The sequence below is a fragment of the Homo sapiens genome, chromosome 15, assembly GCF_000001405.40.
Source record: "Homo sapiens chromosome 15, GRCh38.p14 Primary Assembly".
NCBI lineage: Eukaryota > Metazoa > Chordata > Mammalia > Primates > Hominidae > Homo > Homo sapiens.
The window spans coordinates 28,955,386-28,976,812 of NC_000015.10; the positions used below are offsets into that span (position 1 = coordinate 28,955,386).

Consider the following 21,427-nt stretch of genomic DNA (forward strand, 5'->3'; position numbering starts at 1 on the left):
CTAAGGTCATACCAGTGAATTCACCAAACAGCCAGTACTGGAACCCTGTCCTCTGATTCCCATCCTGTGGCTTTTTTAGGCTTGTGTAATCAATTTTAATGATTGTACCATTGTAGCTTATTTAAATTACCCCAGGAGGAACATCAGCTCTGTTCAAGAAATGTTATTGTAGTTGCTCACCTGCTTTGTTCAGGGAAATGCATCTTTTGTGGGATTTCTTCTGAGTAATTAAGAGGGTCTAAGAAGCCAGTTTTATAGTCATTTATTTAACTGTAGAGAACAATGAAGTTAAACACAAAAGCTGGTTCCATCTGCAGGAACATATGAGTGATTTGCATTAGAAAGGGTGTTCATCAAAGCTCCTCCCAGGTGCCTAGGGAGGCATGGGGGGCCTTGGTGGGTTCCCTGAGGGTCGGGCCAAGGCCTTGGGCCAGGGAGCACAGTTCCATTGCACTGGGTGTGTTGGGGCAGAACCTTGTGCTTGGAGGTAGGTGTTGCTTCTGGCCCTCGGTTGCTTGCTCCTGCAGGCAGGGCCGTGGACCCGTAGCTCAGCAACCATGGAGGAGCTGTGAGAAATGCACAGTCTCAGGCCCCACCCTGGCTCTGCTGACTTGGAACCTGCATGTTAACGAGACTGGGGGTTTGTATGCACATCACATCCGGTCCAGCTCTGGCCTGAGGACTCCGGTCTGTGGTTTCTAGTTTTTATCATCCAGCTGGTCATCCTCAGCAGTAGAGAATGTGGTTGGTTACCATGTGCAGGGCAGCCTGCTATGTGCTGTGGTAACAGAAGGGTGGGGCAGAGCCCTCCTAGCCCTCCCAGCCCTCTGGGGCTTGCTGTCTCTAGGGCAGGCAGGGGCTGGCATATGCAGTTGTACACCATGGTGTTTTACAAAGCACGAGTGCCATGGACCCCATGGGTGGGCTGGATTGAGATGCAAGGAGGGAAAACAGATGGGGTGGGGTCCCAAGCAGGAGGAACTGCATGAGGAAAGGCGTGGAGGCTGGACAGATGCAGAGGCAGTCAGGGAATAGCCAGTGTCAGAATGGAGCAGGCGACAGCCGGGTTTTGGAGGCTTTCAGTCCCACGTTTAGATATTTGGACTTTATCCAGTGGGTCATGGAAGCTACTATAAACTTTTTAAAATTAAATACTATTTTATTTAAAAAATTGTGTAAAATACACATAACATAGGATTCACCTTCTGGAACCATGTTTAAGTGTAGAGCTCAGTCGCATTAAGTACATTTACACGGTTGTGCAACCATCACCCCATCCACCTCCAGAGCTCTCCTCACCCTGCAAAACTGAAACTCTGTCCCCATTAAACACTTAACTCCCATTCCTCCTCCCCTCACCCCCTGGCACCCACCATTGTACTTTCTGTCTATGATTTTGACGACTTCAGGTGCCTCGTATGAGAGCAATTGTATAGGATTTATATTTTGTGACTGGCATATTTCACTCTCAACGTCCTCACGGTGCACACACGTCGTAGTGTAGCACGTGTCACAGTCTCCTTGTCTGTTAAGGTCGAGGAATACTTCCTTGTATGAATAGACCACATTTTGTTGATCGTTCATCTGGTGAAGGATGCTTGGGTTGCTTTTACCTCTTGGCTGTTGTGAATCATGCTGCTGTGAACATGGGGGTACAATCTCTTTGAGCTCTTGTTTTCTTTTTCTTTTTTTTTCTTTTTCTTTTGAGATGGAGTCTCGTTCTGTCACCCAGGCTGGAGTGCAGTGGTGCAATCTCAGCTCACTGCAAGCTCCGCCTCCCGGGTTCACGCCATTCTCCTGCCTCAGCCTCCCGAGTAGCTGGGACTACAGGCGCCCGCCACCGTGCCTGGCTAATTTTTTTAAGTATTTTTAGTAGAGACGGGGTTTCACTGTGTTAGCCACGATGGTCTCAATCTCCTGACCTCGTGATCCGCCCGCCTCGGCCTCCCAAAGTGCTGGGATTGATTACAGGCGTGAGCTACTGCGCCCGGCCTGAGCTCTTGTTTTCACTTCCTTCGGGCATACCCCCAGAAGTGGAGTCATTCCTAGATCATATGGTGATTCTATTTTTAATGTTTTAAGGATAGCATTTTCCAAAGGGGCTGCACACCATTTTACATTCCTACCCACCGTGTACAAGGGTTCCAGTTTTCTCCACATCCTCACCAACACTTGTTATTTTCTGGTTTTTCAATCGTGGCCACCCTGATGGGAGTGGGGTAGCAGCTCTCTGTGGTTTGGATGGCGTTTTCCTGATGCACGATGGTGTGGAGCACCTCTCCTGTGTGGGAGCACTGTGGCCTGGTGAGCAGGGGCTCTGTGGTGGGGAGGCGCGTGCCGAGGGCTGTAGGAGAGGGCGACGGGTGGTGCTGTGCATCAGGTTCGGGGTGATGGGAACGCTGTCTCTTGCACCTGCACATCAGGCCTCCCCCATGCTACTTTGGTGGCTTCTGTGGGAGCACAATATGTCCAGGGTGCCATCCCCAAGGCAGAAGGGAGCACCATCTGGTTTGATGTGTGGCCTGTACTTCACCAAGCCCACCACATTTGGCCTATGACTGTGTCCTGCTGCGACTGGGTTGAAGTCAGAGGAGCCGAGACAGGCGGGGGAGCATTTGGAGGACGTGTCCCTTGCTGTGGTGTCTTTGCAGAAGTGGCCAGCACTTGCACTGCCCAGTAGTATTTTCGATGCTCCTGGGAACATGAGAGGATTGCACTCTCTGCTTTCTCAAAGTTAGATAAGACCATGTGCCTTGCTTCAGCCAATGACATGTAAGCAGAAGTGACTTGTGGGTAGAAGCTGGAAGGGACTTTCTATGCTGTCCTTTCTCCAGTCACATCGGTCCTAGAAGCACATGCCTAGGAGGAGGGGCCATAATAGCAACGTGGCTGTTATTTGCTTTGGACTCACAGTGGACTTTGAGTGAGCAAGACAGAAACCATTACTGGGCCCAGGCCCTGTGGCGTGGGAGCTGTTTGTTGTCACAGCACAGCCTAGCCTGTCCTCACTGATCCAGGAGGAACCTGAAAAGTATTTTAAGTGCACAGATAGGTGAAGATGAAAGTGTAGCGTTTTGGGATAATTCTGCATGCTTCTTAGTATCTCCAGCAGTTTCGAGATTTGGCGAAGGGGCTGAACTTTTCTGTAGGTAAATCTCTTGCTGAAGAGTTCATTATCAGCTGGTAATGGCTTCATTTTGTCAGCGGCACAGAGCTCTGGCTTGTGCGTGTCTGAGGCCTGTCCCCACTGGGGCAGGGAGGTAATGAGAACTCATGAACCCTGCATCTCTGCCTGGCTTTAACAGCCTCTGTGTTTTCCAGTGCTTATCAAATCCAGAGCTGTTTACATTTCAGGAGACAACTTCAGACTCTGTGGACCTCATTATACTTCCAAAGCAGGAGGGTCGTTGTTTTTAAGCATTATTCCCAACTTTTTTTTTTTTGACTGCAGAAATGCCTTTTTAATATCAGAAAATTTCCAAGTTTTCCTTACTTGGCTATAGTCTTGTTTTTAGTACTGCTTTGGTGGTTCAGTAACTATTCATTAAACAAATCTCTTCATTTTAAGTTTATTTCTTCTATAGGGCTCTTCTCTTCTCTTCTGTTCTCTTCTCTTCTTTTTGATACAGAATCTCCCTCTGTCGCCAGGCTGGAGTGCAGTGGTGCGACCTTGGTTCACTGCAACCTCCACCTCCTGGGTTAAAGCTATTCTCCTGCCTCAGTCTCCCGAGTAGCTGGGACTGCAGGTGCATGCCGCCATGCCCAGCTAATTTTTGTATTTTTAGTGGAGACGGGGTTTCACCATGTTGGCCAGGACGGTCTTGATCTCTTGACCTCATGATCCACCTGCCTCGGCCTCCCAAAGTGCTGGGATTACAGGCATGAGCCTCCGCATTCAAATATATGTAAAAACGGAGAGAATTGTGATCCCTGAAAATTCATGTGTTGAAATCTTCACCCCCAGGACCTCAGAATGTGACTGTATTTGGAGAGAGGGTCTTTGAAGAGGTAACTGAGTTAAAATGATATCATCAAGGTAGCTTAATCCAATCTGACTGATGTTCTTGTAAGAAGAGATTCAGACACAGACAGGCACAGACGGATGGCCGTGTACATACATGGCGGAAGACAGCCGTATGTGAGCCAAGGAGCGAGGCCTCCTGAGAAACCAGCCCTGCTGACACCATAATCTCGACTTCCAGTCGCCAGAACTGGAAGAAAATACATTTCTGTTGGTTAAGTCCCCTAGCCTGTGGTACTTTGTGATAGCATTCCTAGAAAACTAATACAGTGCCTGTGTGCTATTGTTCAGTGTCAGCAGTTCCAGTTTTTAAGCAATCTTCATGGACTGCTCCCGAAGTTCAGGGAGCATGGGGCCTATAGCAGAGAACTAGGCAGCACCTGCCCTTGTGAAACTGACACTCTACGGAAACTGGAAAAATTCATGAGGACAAGCTTCAGTTAACAACACTTTGAGGCTGGGTGTGGGAGCTTGAGCCTGTAATCCCAGCACTTCGGGAGGCCGAGGCAGGTGGATCACTTGAACCCAGGAATTTGAGAGCAGCCTGGGCAACATGGTGAAACGCCATCTCTACTAAAAATACAAACAATTAGCTGGGCCTGGTGGCAGTTGCCTGTGGTCCCAGCTACTTGGGAGGCTGAGGTGGGAGGATTGCTTGAGCCCAGGAGGCGGAGGTTACAGTGAGCTGAGATTGCACCACTGCACTTCAGTCAGCCCAGGTGACAGAGTGAGACCTTGTTTCAAAAAAAAAAAAAAAAAAAAGACACTTTGAGACTGGGCGAAGTGGCTCGTGCCTGTAATCCCAGCAGTTCAGGAAGCAGAGGCAGGAGTACTGCTTGAGGCCAGGAGTTCAAAACCAGCCTGAGCAACACAGCAAGACCCCTGTCTCCACAAAAAATATATTAAAATTAGCTGGGTGTGGTGGTGGATGCCTGTAGTCCCAGCTACTTAGAGGCTGAGGCAGGAGGATTGCCTGAGCCTGAGAGGTTGAGGCTGCAGTAAGCTATGATCATGCCACTGTATTCCAGTCTGGGTGATAAAGCAAGACCTTGTCTCAAAAAAAAAAAAAAGAGCACTTTGAATTCTCATAATCATAATCATATGACATCTGTCTACCTTAGAAACCCTCGCTGGTGGGTGGTCACACATAATGCTGGTGGTCTGCGGGGGGCAGATGGACTCTCACACCCTCCTAGGTTCCCCTTTAGGAACTGAGGCTTCAGGTATGGGAAGGGTTTGTGGAATAAATGGATGAAAATGGAATGAGAAGCTTTGCCCACGTCAGAGCCAACCTATCATGTGGACCAGGATTCAGACCACCCCTGGGAGAGGAACCAGGATGCACCCATCATTCTTTTTTTTTTTTTTTTTGAGACGGAGTGTCACACTGTCACCCAGGCTGGAGTGCAGTGGTGTGATCTCGGCTCGCCGCAACCTCCGCCTCCCAGGTTCAAATGATTCTCCTGCCTCAGCCTCCCGAGTAGCTGGGATTACAGGCGTGCACCACCATGCCTGGCTAATTTTGTATTTTTAGTAGAGACAGGGTTTCTCCATGTTGGTCAGGCTGGTCTCGAACTCCCGACCTCAGGTGATTCACCTGCCTCAGCCTCCCAGAGTGCTGGGATTACAGGCGTGAGCCACCGCACCTAGCCGACACCCATCATTCTTACACAGTGAAGACCCAGGGAGATGATGAGTCACACCGGGAAGTGATTCATTTGCTTACTGTTAAGTTCATCCAGGATTCCTTTAAATACCAAATCCCCATATACGCTTAAAAATACCTAGTTCACTCAGAAACAGTGTGCTGACTGACGGAAGCCAGACATGAAAGACTATGTGGTGCAATTCCATGTATAGGACGTTTCTAGAAAGGGCCTAATGACAGAGATGGAAAGCAGATGAGGGCCTGCTTGGGTCTGGGGCGTCAGTGGGGATTGGCTGCAGGCAGCCATGAGGAGCCTTCAGGGTGATGAGGGTTCTAAAAGTGCGTCGTGTGCCTGAGCCACTGCGACATTCACTAGAAGTCCTCCGTGCTGACGGAGGGTGAACTGTGTGGGGCCCAAGTTCTATCTCAGGAAAGCCAGGGAAGCCACTCAGTTCAGCTTTGTGAAAATCAAGGGAGTCTTCTTGGAGGAAGTGGACTCTGAGCTGGATGTGAATGACGGAGTGTCTTTGGTAAGGAGAGACAGCTGCAGGGGACTCCTGGTGGAGGAACAGGATCCCGGGGGAGCGGCCGGGCGGGTGACTGAGGCGCCAATGGAAGGAGAAGCCTGTCACAGGTGAGGGCATTGAAGGGAACTGCAGGGACACCCAGCGCTTCTCAACTCTGACTGCAGATTTCCAGCTGCCATTTCTAAAGGACAGGTGCCTGGGCTCCACTCCTGGAGGTTTGGATTTAATCAGTCTCGGGTATAGATCCCGGACGTTAGTATTTTTAAGCATATTTTTAAATGAAGTGATACTCTAATTCTATCATTTTCTTTTTACTTCTCAGCTTGTTGCTTCTCTAAAGAGATACCTCCCTTTATCCATTTTGTGGTCACCCAGTGGGACAGTTGAGAGAGAAAAGGCCGGGTGGCATGTGATTCTTCTACTTCATTTACCAGTTTTGAAGATGATGAATTTGTTTCCCATGACCTTCCAAAGGTGGTTTTTTAAAATTTATTTTAATCTATCGTCGTGAACTCCTGGGGCGTGAACGTGTGTCATAGGTTTCAAACCACTGCAATCATTATCCTCATTGAGGTTCATTGTGGCTGGTGGTAGTGTCTTCATATTGGCCTCTGAGACCTTCTGACCTGATTCTAGTTATCTTTGATAATTTCCTTGTCTTTAAAAAATTATAATTGTATATATTTTTTAATAATAAAGATGGGTTTCGGCTGGGCGCGGTGGCTCACGCCTGTAATCCCAGCACTTTGGGATGCAGAGGTGGGCAGTTCACGAGGTCAGGAGATTGAGACCATCCTGGCCAACATGGTGAAACCCCATCTCTACTAAAAATACAAAATTAACTGGGCATGGTGGCGGGCGCCTGTAGTCCCAGCTACTCAGGAGGCTGAGGCAGGGGAATCGCTTGAACCCAGGAGGCGGAGGTTACAGTGAGCAGAGATCGCGCCACTGCACTCCAGCCTGGCGACAGTGAGACTCCGTCTCAAAAAATAATAATAATAGTAATAATAATAATAAAGACAGATTTTGCCATGTTGCCCAGGCTTGTCTCGAACTCCTGGGCTCAAGCCATCTGCCCACCTCTGCCTCCCAAAATGCTGGGATTACAGTGTGAGCCACCATGGCCCAGCCTAACTTCCTTGCCTTTTAAGAGTAAAGCAGTTTTATTTCCCATTGCTCTTCCACTAGCTTTAAGTATGTGTTAATTTATTATTTTAGGTTGTCCTAGAGGTTATGATCTGCAGACTCATTAGATGCTAGTGATGCTGGTCTTCTTTAAATTGGTACTTTAACCGCTTCCTGGACAAGGCAGGGACTTTGCATACAGATATATCAGTATGGTGTGGAAGACAGCTACACTCACCATTATACCACCTGCACAGATATCAGTATGTTTTGAAAGTTGCCTGGAGACCTTGGTGGCAATCCAGGGCTGAAAACTCTGGGTGGGGCACTAGGTGGGTGGCAGGTGCACTGGGGACTGAATGGGATGCTGTGGCAGAGAGGACCAGACCTAAAGCCTTTAGTGAAGAAGGCCTGGTGTGAATTTTTTAGCTGGTTATCAGGTTCATATTTTAAAGAATATTTTTCTAATTACGTTTGTTTGTTTGGTCTGGCCTGATGTGGGACGTGGTATTTTCAGTGTATAGGTCTTCCTAGAGTTGGGAAGGAGGGATGCCCTTCTGTTGGAGATGTTTCTGTTAACTCAGGTGCTTTAGGAATGGAAAGGAAAGTCATGCAGCTCAGGCCCGGCAGGGGCATTGTTGAAGATCCTCAGCCAGTGAGGCGCCTTCCCTGTGCCCAGCACATTGCTGAGGACCTTGCCTGAAAGATGTCCTTTCATCCTCCCCACCCACCTGAAAGATGAGAAGTGGAGGACTGATGAGAACCTTCCAGATGGGTTCTCCAAGCCACACAGCTAACAGGTGCCAGAGTCGGAATTTGAACTCAGCTGTGACTTACTTCTGTTACCAGCAGAAGTGGGTGAGAAAGCCGGCCACAGTCCACTAAACACGGGCTATGACCAAGGTCTCTTTGACAACATAATCCAACAAATAGGCTTGTTTTAGAATATAAATCTCAAGGAATTTGGGGGGAGTTGATATACTCTTGTTTTTTACTTTTTATTTTGAAATATTTTTAGATTCACAGGAGGTTGCAAAGAAATATTCAAGAAGATCCTGAACACTCTTCACTTAGCCCCGCTTCAATGTTAACATTATGCATAACGATAGTACAATAGTCAAACCAGGAAACTGACAGTGATGTAGTCAACAGAAACTAGTCAGACTCCAGTAGTTATAATGTATGTATGTGTGTGTGTATGTGTGTGATTCTGTCCAATTGCATGTGCAACTTCATGTAACCACCACCACAATCAAGATATTTAATTGTATCATCAGCAAAGGACTGCCTCATGCTACCCCATTGTAGCCACATGCACAGTCCCTCTTCCATCATTCCTAACCTATGGCAACCACTGGAGGACATTTGGAGTTTCCAGTTTGGGGCTGTTATGAACCCAGATCTGCTATATGAACATTCACTTACAAGTTTCTATGTGAAAACAAGTTTTTATTCCTCTATGATCAATTATCTACAATTGCTGGATTGCATGGTAAATTCATTTTTACTTTTAAAGGAGTTGCCAAACTATTTTCCAGAGTGGCTGTACCATTTTATATTCCCATTAGCAATGTATGGATGATTCAGTTTCTCCACATCCTTGCCAGCATTTGGTGTTATCACTGTTTTTTATTTTAGCTATTCTCATAGGTGTGTAGTGATATCTAGTTGTGGTTTAGATTGCATTTTTCTGATGCCTAATAATGTTGGGGATCTTTTCATATGATTATTTGCCATCTGTGTATCTTCACGGGTGAAATATCTGTTCATCACTTTTGCTCATTTTTTTTTTTTTTTTGAGACGAAGTCTTGCTCTTGTCTTCCAGGCTGTAGTGCAGTGGCACGAACTTGGCTCACTGCAACCTCCGCCTCCTAGATTCAAGTGATTCTCCTGCCTCAGCCTCCCGAGTAGCTGGGATTACAGGCGCCTGCCACCACGCCTGGCTAATTTTTGTATTTTTAGTAGAGATGGGGTTTCACCATGTTGGCCAGGCTGGTCTTGAACTCCTGACCTCAGGTGATCAGCCCACCTCGGCCTCCGAAAGTGCTGGGATTACAGGCATGAGCCACCGCACCTGGCCCACTTTTGCTCATTTTCTAATTAGATTTTTTTTTTAATTGTTGAGTTTTAAGGGCTGTTTATATATTCTAGATACAAGTCCTTTGTTAGGTACGTGATTTGCAAATAATTTCTCCCAGAGTATAATTTTTTTTTCTGTTATCTTAACTTGACCCTTGACAGAATGAAAGTTTTTAATTTTGAGGAGGTCAAAGTTTTATCAAATTTTTTCCTTTTATGGATATTGTGTTTGGTGTATGTCTAGGAACTCTTTGCCTAATCATTAAGGTCCCAAAGCTCTTTCCTTTGATTTTTTTTTTCTACATGTCTTATAGTTTTATATTTAAGTCCTTGATTCATTTTGCGTTAGTTTTTGTATAAGGTATGAAATTTATGTCAAATTTCTTTTTTCTTTTTTTGCCTATAGATGTGCAAATACTCCAGCGCCATTAATTGAAAAGGCTGTCCCTCCTTCATGGAATTACTTTTGCTCCTTGTGACAAATCAGTTGGGCATATTTGTAGGGATCATTTTTCCTGGGCTCTCTACTCCATTCCATTTGATCTCTGTGTCTCTCCCTTTGCCTATATCACACTGTCTTGATTACTATATCTCTGTAGGAAGCCTTAATATCAGGCAGGGTGATTTCCCCAATTTTATTCTCCTTTTTCAAAGTTATTTGGCTATTCTCAGGCTTTTCTCTTTCTAATAAATTTTAGAATAAGTTTGTTTGCATCTACAAAATACCTTACAAAGTTTGACAGGACTTTTGTTAAGCCTGTCAGTCAATTTAGGCAGAATCGACCTTTTAACTATGTTGAGCGTTCCAGTCCATGAGTATGTCTCTTCAGTATTTAGGTCTTTGATTTCCTTCCTTGTCATTTTGTAATTTTTATTTTATATAGATCCTGTACATATTTTGTTAGATATATTCATAAGTATCTTCTTGTTATCTTTAGAGCAACTTTAAATGGTGTTGCATTTAACAGTCTTGATTTCCACTTCTTTGTTATTAGTGTATAGACATGCAATCAGTTTTTGAATGTTGATCTTGTACCCTGAAACCTTACTGAACTATATGTTTTCCTCTCAGCACTGTCTGAGCTGCATCCTACCAACTTGGTATGTCGTGTTGTCATTTTAGTGCAGTTCTATATAGTTTAAAATTTCCCTTGAGATTTCCCCTTTGACCTATGGATTAGTTAGAAGTGTGTTGGTTAATTTCCAAGTATTTGGAGATTTTCCTGTAGTTTTTTTGTCATTGATTTCTAGTTGGAGTCCATTTTGGTCAACATATTCTGCATGATTTTAATTTTTTTGAATTTATTAAGGCTTTTTTTTGTGACCCAGGATATGGTCTATCTGAGTGTATGTTCCATGGACAATTGAAAAGAATGTGTATTCTGCAGTTTTTGGGTTGAATTTTCTATAAATGTCAATTTGATCTTTTTGTTGGATGGTGTTGCACACTTCTGTATCTTTGCTGATCTTCTGTCCAGTAGTTGTGTCAGTTGCTCAGAGTGGGTACTGACATCCCCAAATATTATTGTGAATTTGTCGATTTTTCTCTTGGCAAGATTTGTTTTTGCTGTATGTGTTTTGTGGTCTGGGGGGTACGCATTTAGAATTTCTGTATGTTCTTGGTAGGCTGGGCATTTTATTATTATGTAATATTATTCCTTGTCTTTATTTAGTTTCTTTACTCTGAAGTCTGCCTGGATATTAATATAGCCACTTTTGCTTTCTCATGATTAGTGTTGGCATGACATGTCTTTTCCCATCCTTTACTTTCAGTCTACCCATGTTGTTATGTTTGAAATGAGTTTCTTGTAGGTAGCTTGTAGGTTATTTTTTAAATCCATTCTGCCAATGTCTGTTATTTGATGTAGTTAGACCATTTATATTTAAAATGATTATTGACTTGCTAGGGTTTAAGTCTGCATTTTATGATTTTTTTCCTTCTCTTTCTCATTCCTCTGTTTCTTTTTCCTTGCCTTCCTATGGTGACAAACATTTTTTAGAGTCCCACATTTCCTTATTTATACTGTGTTTGAATGTACGGCTTTGGATAGTGTTCTTTATGATTGCTGTAAATATTATGTCAGCCTACTGGTGTCAGAGTTTTACCACTTTGGACCCTTTACCCTCACTACTTTTTAAATATAATTGTCTTAAGTATTTCCTCCGTATCCACTGAGTACCTTATCGTATGACATAATAACTTTTGCTTCAACTTAAAGTATGATTAAAGAACCTCATGAGGTGAAGGACAGTCTAGTCTTCTTCTGTTAGTCTCTTTTTCTGTTTGAAGACATTTCTTTAGCCCTTCTTTAAAGGTTGGTCTGCTAGTAATAAATTCTTTAGCTTCTCTTCTCCTGAGAATATCTTAATTTCTCCTTCATTTCTTTTTTTTGATAGCAAATTTATTGAGTCATAATTCACATACCATGTAACTCATACCTTTAAACTGTACAATTCAGTGGTTTTTAGTGTATTCACAGAGTTTTGAATCATAACCACAATCTAATGTAATAAAATTGTAAGTCTGGCTTTTTGCATGTGATAGAGGGGAGAAGGAAAAGCAGTCTATATCATCTTGCTCTGGAACTAGAAGTTGATAGTCTTTTCAAGTGTTTTATAAATTTCAGGTTCCTCTCTCCATCCCTTTATTTTTATTTATTTATTTATTTTGAGATGGAGTCTCGCTCTGTCACCTAGGCTGGAGTGCAGTGGCACGATCTTGGCCCACTGCAAGCTCCGCCTCCCGGGTTCACACCATTCTCCTGCCTCAGCCTCCCAAGTAGCTGGGACTACAGACACCTGCCACCACGCCCGGCTAATTTTTTGTATTTTTAGTAGAGATGGGGTTTCACCGTGTTAGCCAGGATGGTCTCGATCTCCTAACCTCATGATCCACCCGCCTCGGCCTCCCAAAGTGCTAGGATTATAGGTGTGAGCCTCCGCGCCCGGCCCCTTTCTTTATTTTTAAAATGTATTTTAATTTTTAGTTCTTAATTGTGGCAAGAGATACATACAAATGTATCATCTTAAGCATTGTTTAGGTGTACAGGTCAGTGACGTTAAGGACATTGACATTGTTGTCCAGCTATCACCACCACTCATCTCCAGAATGATTTCATCTTCCCAAAATTTAACCTCTGCACTCATTAAGCAGTAATTGTCCATTCCCCTCTTTTCACACCCCCTGGCAACCACCATTCTACTTTCTGGCTGTGAATTTGACTCTTCCAGGTACCTCACGTAAGTGGAATCCTACAATATTTTTGTGCGTGACTGACTTCTTTCCCTTAGCATAGTGTTCTCGCAACGTTGTAGTAAGTGTCAGAATTCCCTTGCCTGTGAAGGCTGAATAATACTCCACCGTATGTGTAGACCACATTTTGTTTATCCATTCATCCATGATGGACACTTGGGTTGTTTCCACGTTTTGGGGACTGTGAATAATGTTGCTATGAGCATGAGTGTGCAAATAATCTCTTGGAGATAGACCCTGCTTTTCATTCTTTTGGGTGTATACTCAGAAGTGGGATTGCTGAATGATGTGGTAATTTATGTTTTTAATTTTGGGGGGAACTGCTATACTATCTGTCCCTGTCTTTTCCTTACAAACACGTGTGGAAGACTTTGAGGCATTTGACCTGTGGAACATCTCCCTTCTTATTTTGGATGGGTGCACTCCTGGTGAAGTTCAGCGTGTCCCTTTGTCCTCTCTCTCCTGCACATTGGCAGCTGGATCCAGTACCTTTGCTGGACTTGGTTCCGTCTCTTTCGCAGGATTAGAGGAAGTGCTCTATGTCTGTTCACCCATCTTTTTGTGAGCAGGCAGCTGTTGATGCTCAATGCCCCTGTTTTGGGTAAAATTGTGTCTCCCCAAAATTCATTTGTTGAAGTCTTAAGCTCCAGCATCTCAGAACCTGCCCTTATTTGGAGAAATGGTCTTTACAGAGCTTATCAAAGCAAAATGAGGTCATTAGGGCAGGCCCTAATCCAGCATGCCCAGCGTACTTCCAAGAAGAGGAAATGCGGAAGCAGACACGTGCAGAGGGAGGATGGGAAGATGTGGTGACTCCATATAAACATAAACACGGCTGTCTCTTGCCCTTCATTCTTGAACGCTTTGCTGGACAGGAAATCCTTGAGTGTCTTAAATAGGCTACTCTTTTTTTTTCTGGAGGTAATCATGGTTGTCAAAAAGTCTTAAGGGTCAGCCACAGTGGCTCACCCCTGTAATGCCAGCACTCTCGGAAGTCAAGGCAGGAGGATCATCGGAGCTCAGGAGTTAGAGATCAGTCTGCGCAACATAGGGAGACCCTGTCTACAAAAACCTTACCTTTCATTTCTTTTTCTTTCTTTCTTTCTTTCTTTCTTTCTTTCTTTCTTTCTTTCTTTCTTTCTTTTTTTTATTTTTTATTTTTGAGACAGTCTCTCTCTGCCGGCCAGGCTGGATCCAGTGGCACAATCTCGGCTCACTGCAACCTCCGTCTCGCGGGCTCAAGCGATTCTCCTGCCTCAGCCTCACAAGTAGCTGGGATTACATGCATGCACCACCAAGCCTGGCTAATTTTTGTGTTTTTAGTAGAGATGGGGTTTCACCTATAGGCCAGGCTGGTCTCGAACTCCTGACCTCAGGTAATCTGCCCACCTTGGCCTCCCAAAGTGCTGGGATTACAGGTGTGAGCCACTGCACCGGGCCTTAACCTTTCATTTCAAATAAAAAGGAGATAACCTGGAATTCTGTGTGGGCTCTCAGTGTAAAGATAGAAGGACACACAGAGTGTTTTGAAACATGCCCCTCCCTGATCAGCAGGTGTCCTGCTGTGTCACATGTGACTGTCAGTTCCCGACCCCTCGGCCGAGCAGAAAGGGCTTTGGCAAGGTGTCCGGAGTTGGAGGTGGCCTCTGGGAGGTTTGCTGCCCGAGGGTCCTGTTGCCGCCAGGACTGGTGAGGAGACTGAGGATTGAAGGGGCCAAAAGCTGACAAAATTCTGTGCGGGGGCTGAGTGGCAGATTCGGGTCTGAATCATTTCCTGGTTCCTGGAATATTCCCACTTAGGTGCCGAAGCCAGAATTGGAGGGAGCGTGGCGCCTACTCATGGAGCCTGCCAAGGCACTGCCAGCTGCTCACAGGCCAGGCCGGGCGGGCAGAGCCTCCTCGCTGCCTGCTGGCTTTGAAATTCATGTTTGAGACACACATTCCAGCCTTCACTGCTTGTTCAAGGTGATACATGATTTTCAGACTGGACAGCTTGGCCTCTTGTCTGTTCTTGTGTTTTCCTTTATGTACCAGGATAATGTTAAACCCTTCCCATGATGCTGCAAAAACCAAATAGTGCAGCACACACCCCACAGCCCGAAACAACTGCAGGTGCGTGTGCCAGTGGTTCTGAAAGGAATACAGAGACGTGTGGTTTCCGAATCCGCTGATTGTTTTATTATATACTGTTACAGATCATGTTATTCTAAATTACAAAATAAAACTTATGTTAATATACATTTATACAACGTATATATTATACATTATATAGCATGTAGTGATGTATGATGTAATGTATGATATGTACTATATAATAATTTATAATATATTATAATTATTATAATAAAAATGACTGGCCAGGCACCGTGGTTCATGCTTGTCATCTCAGCCCTTTGGGAGGCCGAGGCAGGAGGGTTGCTTGAGGTCAGGAGTCTGAGACCAGCCTGGGGCCACATAGTGAGACCCTGTCTTTCTAAAAAAAAAAAAAAAAATAGTAATTTGTTATTATTCTTCCTATTACTATTTTTAAGGGACAATTTTGGAAACATACTTTACTTTTTCTAGTGTAGCAAAGAATTTACATTTTGTCACCTGAAAGCGTCCTGGAAAATCCATCCTAGTGTCTTGTAATTCTAACAGTCACCAGGAAGGCTACTTTGAGAAAATTTCATATGGTATGAGGGAAAACAAGAACATTCTCATTTTTTTTTGTCTTGCTGAATTAAAAAAAAAAAATAAAAGCAACAACAAGAAAAAACAAAGCCCAGGGCTGGGGTTAAGTAGGTGAAGGAGGAAAGGGAGTCCCCACCTGCCAGTCTCAGTGCCGCTCTTTGCCATGCACACACCCGTATGTGTGCCCATGTGTGTGCACACAGACACCACCGGGTCCCCTTGGAGTTACCAGGCAAATGCATGTCATCAGCTGTTGTGCCTTGATGTCTCCTAAGCTACATAGAATCCCCTCAGACCACGCCTGACACCCAGGACACCAGGGCAGTAATCCGCACGCCCATTTCACTCTCACCATGTAAATTGCGTTTTCTATTTTCATTTCATTTTATGTCACTTTTCTTCAACAAGTAATTATTCTAGGGCTTTATAAGAACGCTGTGCTTTCTTAGTCTATTTATAATGAGTAAGAAGTTGTTTTTATTCTATTTCTTTTCTGTCTGTGCTTGCCATTTTTTTTAATCACGATTGGATAAGGGGGGATCCCTGCAAGATAACAGCGCCCACCAAATTAGAATCTCCCTGAAAAACATACAGTTAATCAGGAGGAAAATATAGTTGCCCATAGTCCATGATTATAGCACAACTAGGGGACAATTAATGTAGCAAACCTCTGTTTCCACCCAAGACCAGGATACAGGGTTTCAGGGCCAGGCCAGAGCCCCGAGCCATCAGGACCGGGCACAGGAGAGTGCAGCAGCGGCCTGGTCCCACCCTCACTCGGGAGATAATAAGAGACATCTGAAATGTCACTCAGGAATAAAAGAGAGGGTCTTGGAAAGTGCATGGGATGGGAGAGTCTGCTCCTGGGAGATGTTTCCTGGAGGTTTGGTGTGAAAGGGAAGAGAAGAATTAGCTGAAAATAAGGAACTTAGTAAAACAACAAATCATCCACAAAGAAGAGCTCCTCTCAGGGGAGGAGGAGGTGGAAGAAGAGGAAAATCTCTCTCCTTAATTAAAAAAACTGTACTTTAGAGAAGTAAGAGAAGAGTGCATGGCTGAACCATGTTCCTGAGCAAGCCACACAGACCTCTCCCTCCCTACTGACTCTACTCATCAGCTTTTGGGGAGTCTAAGTAAATTAATATAAACCCAAGCACACCTAGCGTCCATACAATATTACTGTAAGAAAAAGAAATAGAAAATGTGTAGCAAAATGCTGGACATGAAAACAGCCAAGAAGCACAAATGAAATGTAAGTAATAGGCAATTGCAAATGTGAAAAAACACCATGAGCCAGCTCTTCATAAAATAAGACTGGAAATGGATAAACAACGGGAGATATGAAATGAGAGCTAATTAAGGAAAGCAAATGAAGAAAAGTCTAAGATAATCTCTGAAATTAATAGTAAATGATAAGGTTCCCCAAAGGGATAGTAGTTACAGCTGAAAGCACAGTAGGGATAGAAATGAAAGAAATAGAAAAGATCAAAACCAAAGTGTCTGTTGGAAAGACATCCAATTTACCTGTAATTGGTGACCCTGAAGAACTAAAACAAGGCAATGGAACAGAACTAAAAATTTAAAACTGCAAGTCAAGAAAACTTTCCTAAAATAAAATTAAGACCCAAATCTACATGGAAATATAGTCCACTGCCATTCCGGGAATGGTTGACTCAAGATTTATGCTCTAGGAAGACTAAATTCTAAAGATAAAGAGAATATCAGCAGGGCCTCCAGGCAAAAGGACCAAGTTATTTACAAAGGAAATTTACAGAGTTGTTTACAAAGTTACAAGTTATATGCAAAGTCTGGTGTCAGACTTATAACAACAACAAAGAAAGCAAGACAGCAATGCACAATACTTTTAAGAAACTCAAGGAAAGAAAACGTGAGTGAAGGATTTTATGCCCAGCCAATGGTTCTTTAAGTGATTCAGAAACAAAAATATTGTGCCCACCAGGCACACTTAAAGAATCAGCTGGCATTAGTGATATGTCAGAGGCTGGACGGCAGAAATGGTCTGCCCTGGTTGCAGGCAATGAGGAGTTTCATCATCTGTCGATAATTTAAAAACAATAATAAAACTGACTGAAAGTCCGTCTGCTTTTTATGTCACTGTGATCCAACACTTTTAAACAATGTCAGCCAAAAAATACTCCTCCTGAAAAAACCTATTGTTGGTCTAATTTCTAAGCAATTTTTCCTATTACAATTGCATTTTAATGCTATGTGTAAACCTCAAATTAGCATATTTGCATTACTTATGCTTTAATAAACATTATATTCTACATGGCATTTAATTTGGAGAACTCCCAAGTATACGATCAGCCCCTGACATCTGCAGACTGAGGCACATGTGTTTATTTTGAGAGGAAGTTTGTAGCAATCCAGAATCATGCAAACTCCATTGAGGTCCGGACTCCTGTGACCCTGTGTATTCCTCTGTTTGGATAGCAGATTAGGAATAACCAGTGATATCACAATAGGTAAAGACAAAGAAACAGAACTTGGATTTCTTCAATTCTGTCATTCTATGTGAACACTAGAGGTTTTTATTGGTGTGTAAAATTTGAAGAGTAAGAGCACAGATGATGAGATTGGATATTTTTGTTTGATTGGTGCAACTTGTAGTTGACACATGAAATATTTTACTGAATATGAGCTGTACCATTAGGACTGAAATTCATCTTTTAAAATTGTCCATGGTTTTTAAAATTACAGATCCAGTTAAGGAAATAGTGATTATTACTGGTTATTATGTGATAATTACTGAAAACACTGTTGTCACATAGAGGATGAAGGTGTTAAAAATTAGCCACATTATGTATGCCACATAGCAGGGGACAGGCTTCATCCAATGAAAAGATGATGTGGGAAACTTTGGCGAAGGCACTGATAGTATTTTTACACTTAAACAAGTATTTTAAAATGTTTAAAAAAAATTGTATATGTATGACCGAAAGAAAGGTAGGGATAAGTATGGAGGAATGGCTATAAATGTTATATATTCTGACAAAATAGAAATAATGAATAAAAATAATAGTTGGAGTAGGAAGAGCAAAAGAGGAACAGAGAATCAGCTCATTGATTGCCCTGCAGGTAGGAAAGTGGTAACATTGTTTGGTATACAAGAATGACCACTGAAACAAAAATATAGACCTTAAATACCCAAAGAAATGCAAAAACAAAACAAAACAACTTTTAAAGAAGCAAACAAACCATATAGTGAAATACACACGGTCAATATAACACTAAAGAATAGAACTGAGACCAAACCTAGCAGCCGCATCAGTAAATTAGAGTGGATTTAACCCATTTATTAAAAGGCAAGACTGATTTTCAGATTGGTTCACATAGTGGCACCCAACTCTATGCTGTATAAAGAAGTCATATCCAAAACACAGTGATCCAGGAAGGCTGAAAATGACAGGAGGGTGTATAGCAATGAAGAGAGAAAAAGAGCTTGGGAGTTTTAATCCTGACTGCAGCCAAGCTAGTATCAGGCCAAAAGCATTAATGGAAACAAAGAGGGCCGCTGTCAATGCTAAAGGCTGCAATTTGCAGAGAAGATACACTAGGTGTGGTTATGTCTGCTTCACATAACATCACCAGAACCTCTACGATGCGGAAACCACAGGGGCGGTGGGGAGACATGAGGGACACGCAGTTCCAGGACATTGTGACTGCCTTGCTCAGCCTGAGACATGTGAAGGGGACCAAAACATACGCCTCCAAATGTACCAGACTTTGTGCTGTGATAATAGGGAATACAACTTTGTTTCGAGACTACTTGGAACACTTAGGAAAGTTGACATATATTAGCTTACAAAGACAACCTCAATGAGTTCCGTAACAGAAATAATACAAACAACATTCTGTGCTCACAATGCAATAAAACTAAAAATTAATCATAAGATTAAAAACCAAAAAGGCCCTTCAATTTGAAGAGTTACAAGATTAAACTCTATTAAATAAGTTTTTAGGTGAAAGGAAATACACAAACCAAGTGCATAATTTTTGAATTTGACGATAATTAAAATATATCACTCTGTGGAATACACATAAAGCTGTGGTTATAACCTCAGAAATGAAACCAAACGAATTAATGGATTTATCATCTAACTAAAAATGATAGATAAAAATAGCCAAATAAACTTAGAGTAGAATGACAAAAAATAAGAGTAAGATTGGAAATTCATGAGTTTTAGGAATGAGAAAAAAATGAAACTGATAAATACACAAAATACTACATCCTAGAAAAAGAATCAAGTGGACAAACCTCTGTCTAAGCTAATCATGAAGGGGAGAGAGAGAGACCCCAAACAACACAGAATAAGAAATGACATTAACAGAACAGAGCATATTTAAAAAAATCATTAAAAGCTTACTTTGTATAGTGCTTTGCAAGTAAGTGTGAAGACCTGGATAGAAAGGGAACTTCTTTAGGAAAATATAATTTATTCAGATTGACCCCAGTAGACACAGAAAGTTTTAAAAAAAAATTCCTACTGGAAAAAAATTCAAATCTATATTTTCACAGGAGAATTCTATCAAATCTTCAAAGAACAGATATCTCAATGCTACTTAAATTATTCTAGAACATAGAAAAAGAAACCTTAAGATTATTCAATGAGAAAACCACACACCAATCTCACTTAGGAATATTGATGTAAAATGCCTAAGTAAAACAGTATTAGAGAGAACCCTTTAAAAATGGTTTTGAGACAACTGGATAGCCATTTGGAAAAAGATAAAATTTTGTCGATATCTTTCATCATCTACAAGCATACATTTCAAATGTCTCTAAATAGGTAGTTACCAGAAAAACTACCACAAGAAAACATGGGTAAATTTTAAAATAACCTGTGGGTAGGGAAAATTATGATTCAAAATCCAAAAGCAATGTAAAAAAGATTGAGAAATTTGGTTGCATTAGGAAAAAAACAAAACAAAACTGCTTTCGCATGATGGGGGAGGGACACCATAAGCAAAGTGAAAAAGCCAGGTAATAAACCAGTAGAAAATATTTGCATCTTATATCACAAAGCTAATTCCTTCAAAATATAGATTATAACAAGATACCATTTCTCATGGGCCATATTGGCAGAGAGGAAAAAACTCAAAACAAAACAATACAAGTTTGATGGCGCCCTCTATTGGCGAGGCTGTGGAGCAGCCATTCAGATTGCTCCACCCCTGGAGGAAACAGGATGCCTTGGGACTTGGTGCACCTGCATAGACCCTGACTCAGCCATGCCTCCTTCCTGAATTTACCTGGAAGACAATACTCCAAATCCAAACATGCTCATGGCATATGGAGATCTTAAATTAATAGGTCCTCTTTTATGTCTTTCAATAAAGTAACAGATATGTTTCTATAGAGGTCTTCCATTTTTACATTAAATTGATTCCCAGGTATGAAATTTTGGCTACTGTCCCAGTGGCAGCCCTCTGGAAATGACCTTTGTTGAGTTTGTGTTTTGACCTGGTATCCAGCAACCTTGCTTAACAGTCTGAAGAGCAGCTTGGGGCTTTTCTCTATGGACAGTATGTCTCCTGCATGTAATGACAGTTGGCTTTCATTCATCCATTGCAATCTTCATCCTTTAATTTCTTTTTGTTTTCTTACTTCTGTGGTTGGGAGTGACAGAACAGTGTTAAGCAGAAGCAGTTATACTGCAAATTCTTGTCTTATTCCTTCTTGTAGGGCCATCTCTAATGGTCCACCATGAGGTGTGGAGTTTGCTGTGGACTTGTGGTAGATCCTCACTTTGTTAAGGAAGTCTCCTTCTGGTCCTAATTTGCTAGGAGTTTTTTCTCCCTTTAATTGTGAATGCATGTTGAACTTTATGAAATGGTTTTTGGGCATCAATTGAGATGATCTGTTAATGTGATGAATTATGTGATTGCGACAATAGCTTTTCTAATATTACACCAAGTTGACATGCCTGGGATAAACCTGTATTTCATCATGATATGTCTCTTAAAAATTGCTGGGTTCACTTGGCTAATACTTTATTTAGGATGTTTTTTCACCTGTTTATAAATGAGTTTGGCCTATAATTTACCTTTCTTATTCTGCCTTTCATTGGTTTTAGTG

General features: G+C 42.5%; 1 protein-coding gene across 31 annotated transcripts in view, besides 1 other annotated feature; it reads left to right on the forward strand.

The window, feature by feature from the left end:
• Window positions 1-21,427, forward strand: part of APBA2 (amyloid beta precursor protein binding family A member 2) — a 232,342-nt gene that overhangs the window by 69,412 nt on the left and 141,503 nt on the right. The gene's annotated exons all lie outside the window — the stretch shown is intronic.
• Window positions 13-526: an enhancer, noted in NCBI's record as "H3K4me1 hESC enhancer chr15:29247601-29248114 (GRCh37/hg19 assembly coordinates)". NCBI's record gives its function as "activates a minimal SCP1, AML or CMV promoter by ChIP-STARR-seq in naive H9 embryonic stem cells {active_cell/tissue: H9 hESC(naive)}" and the evidence as "EXISTENCE:reporter gene assay evidence [ECO:0000049][PMID:30033119]".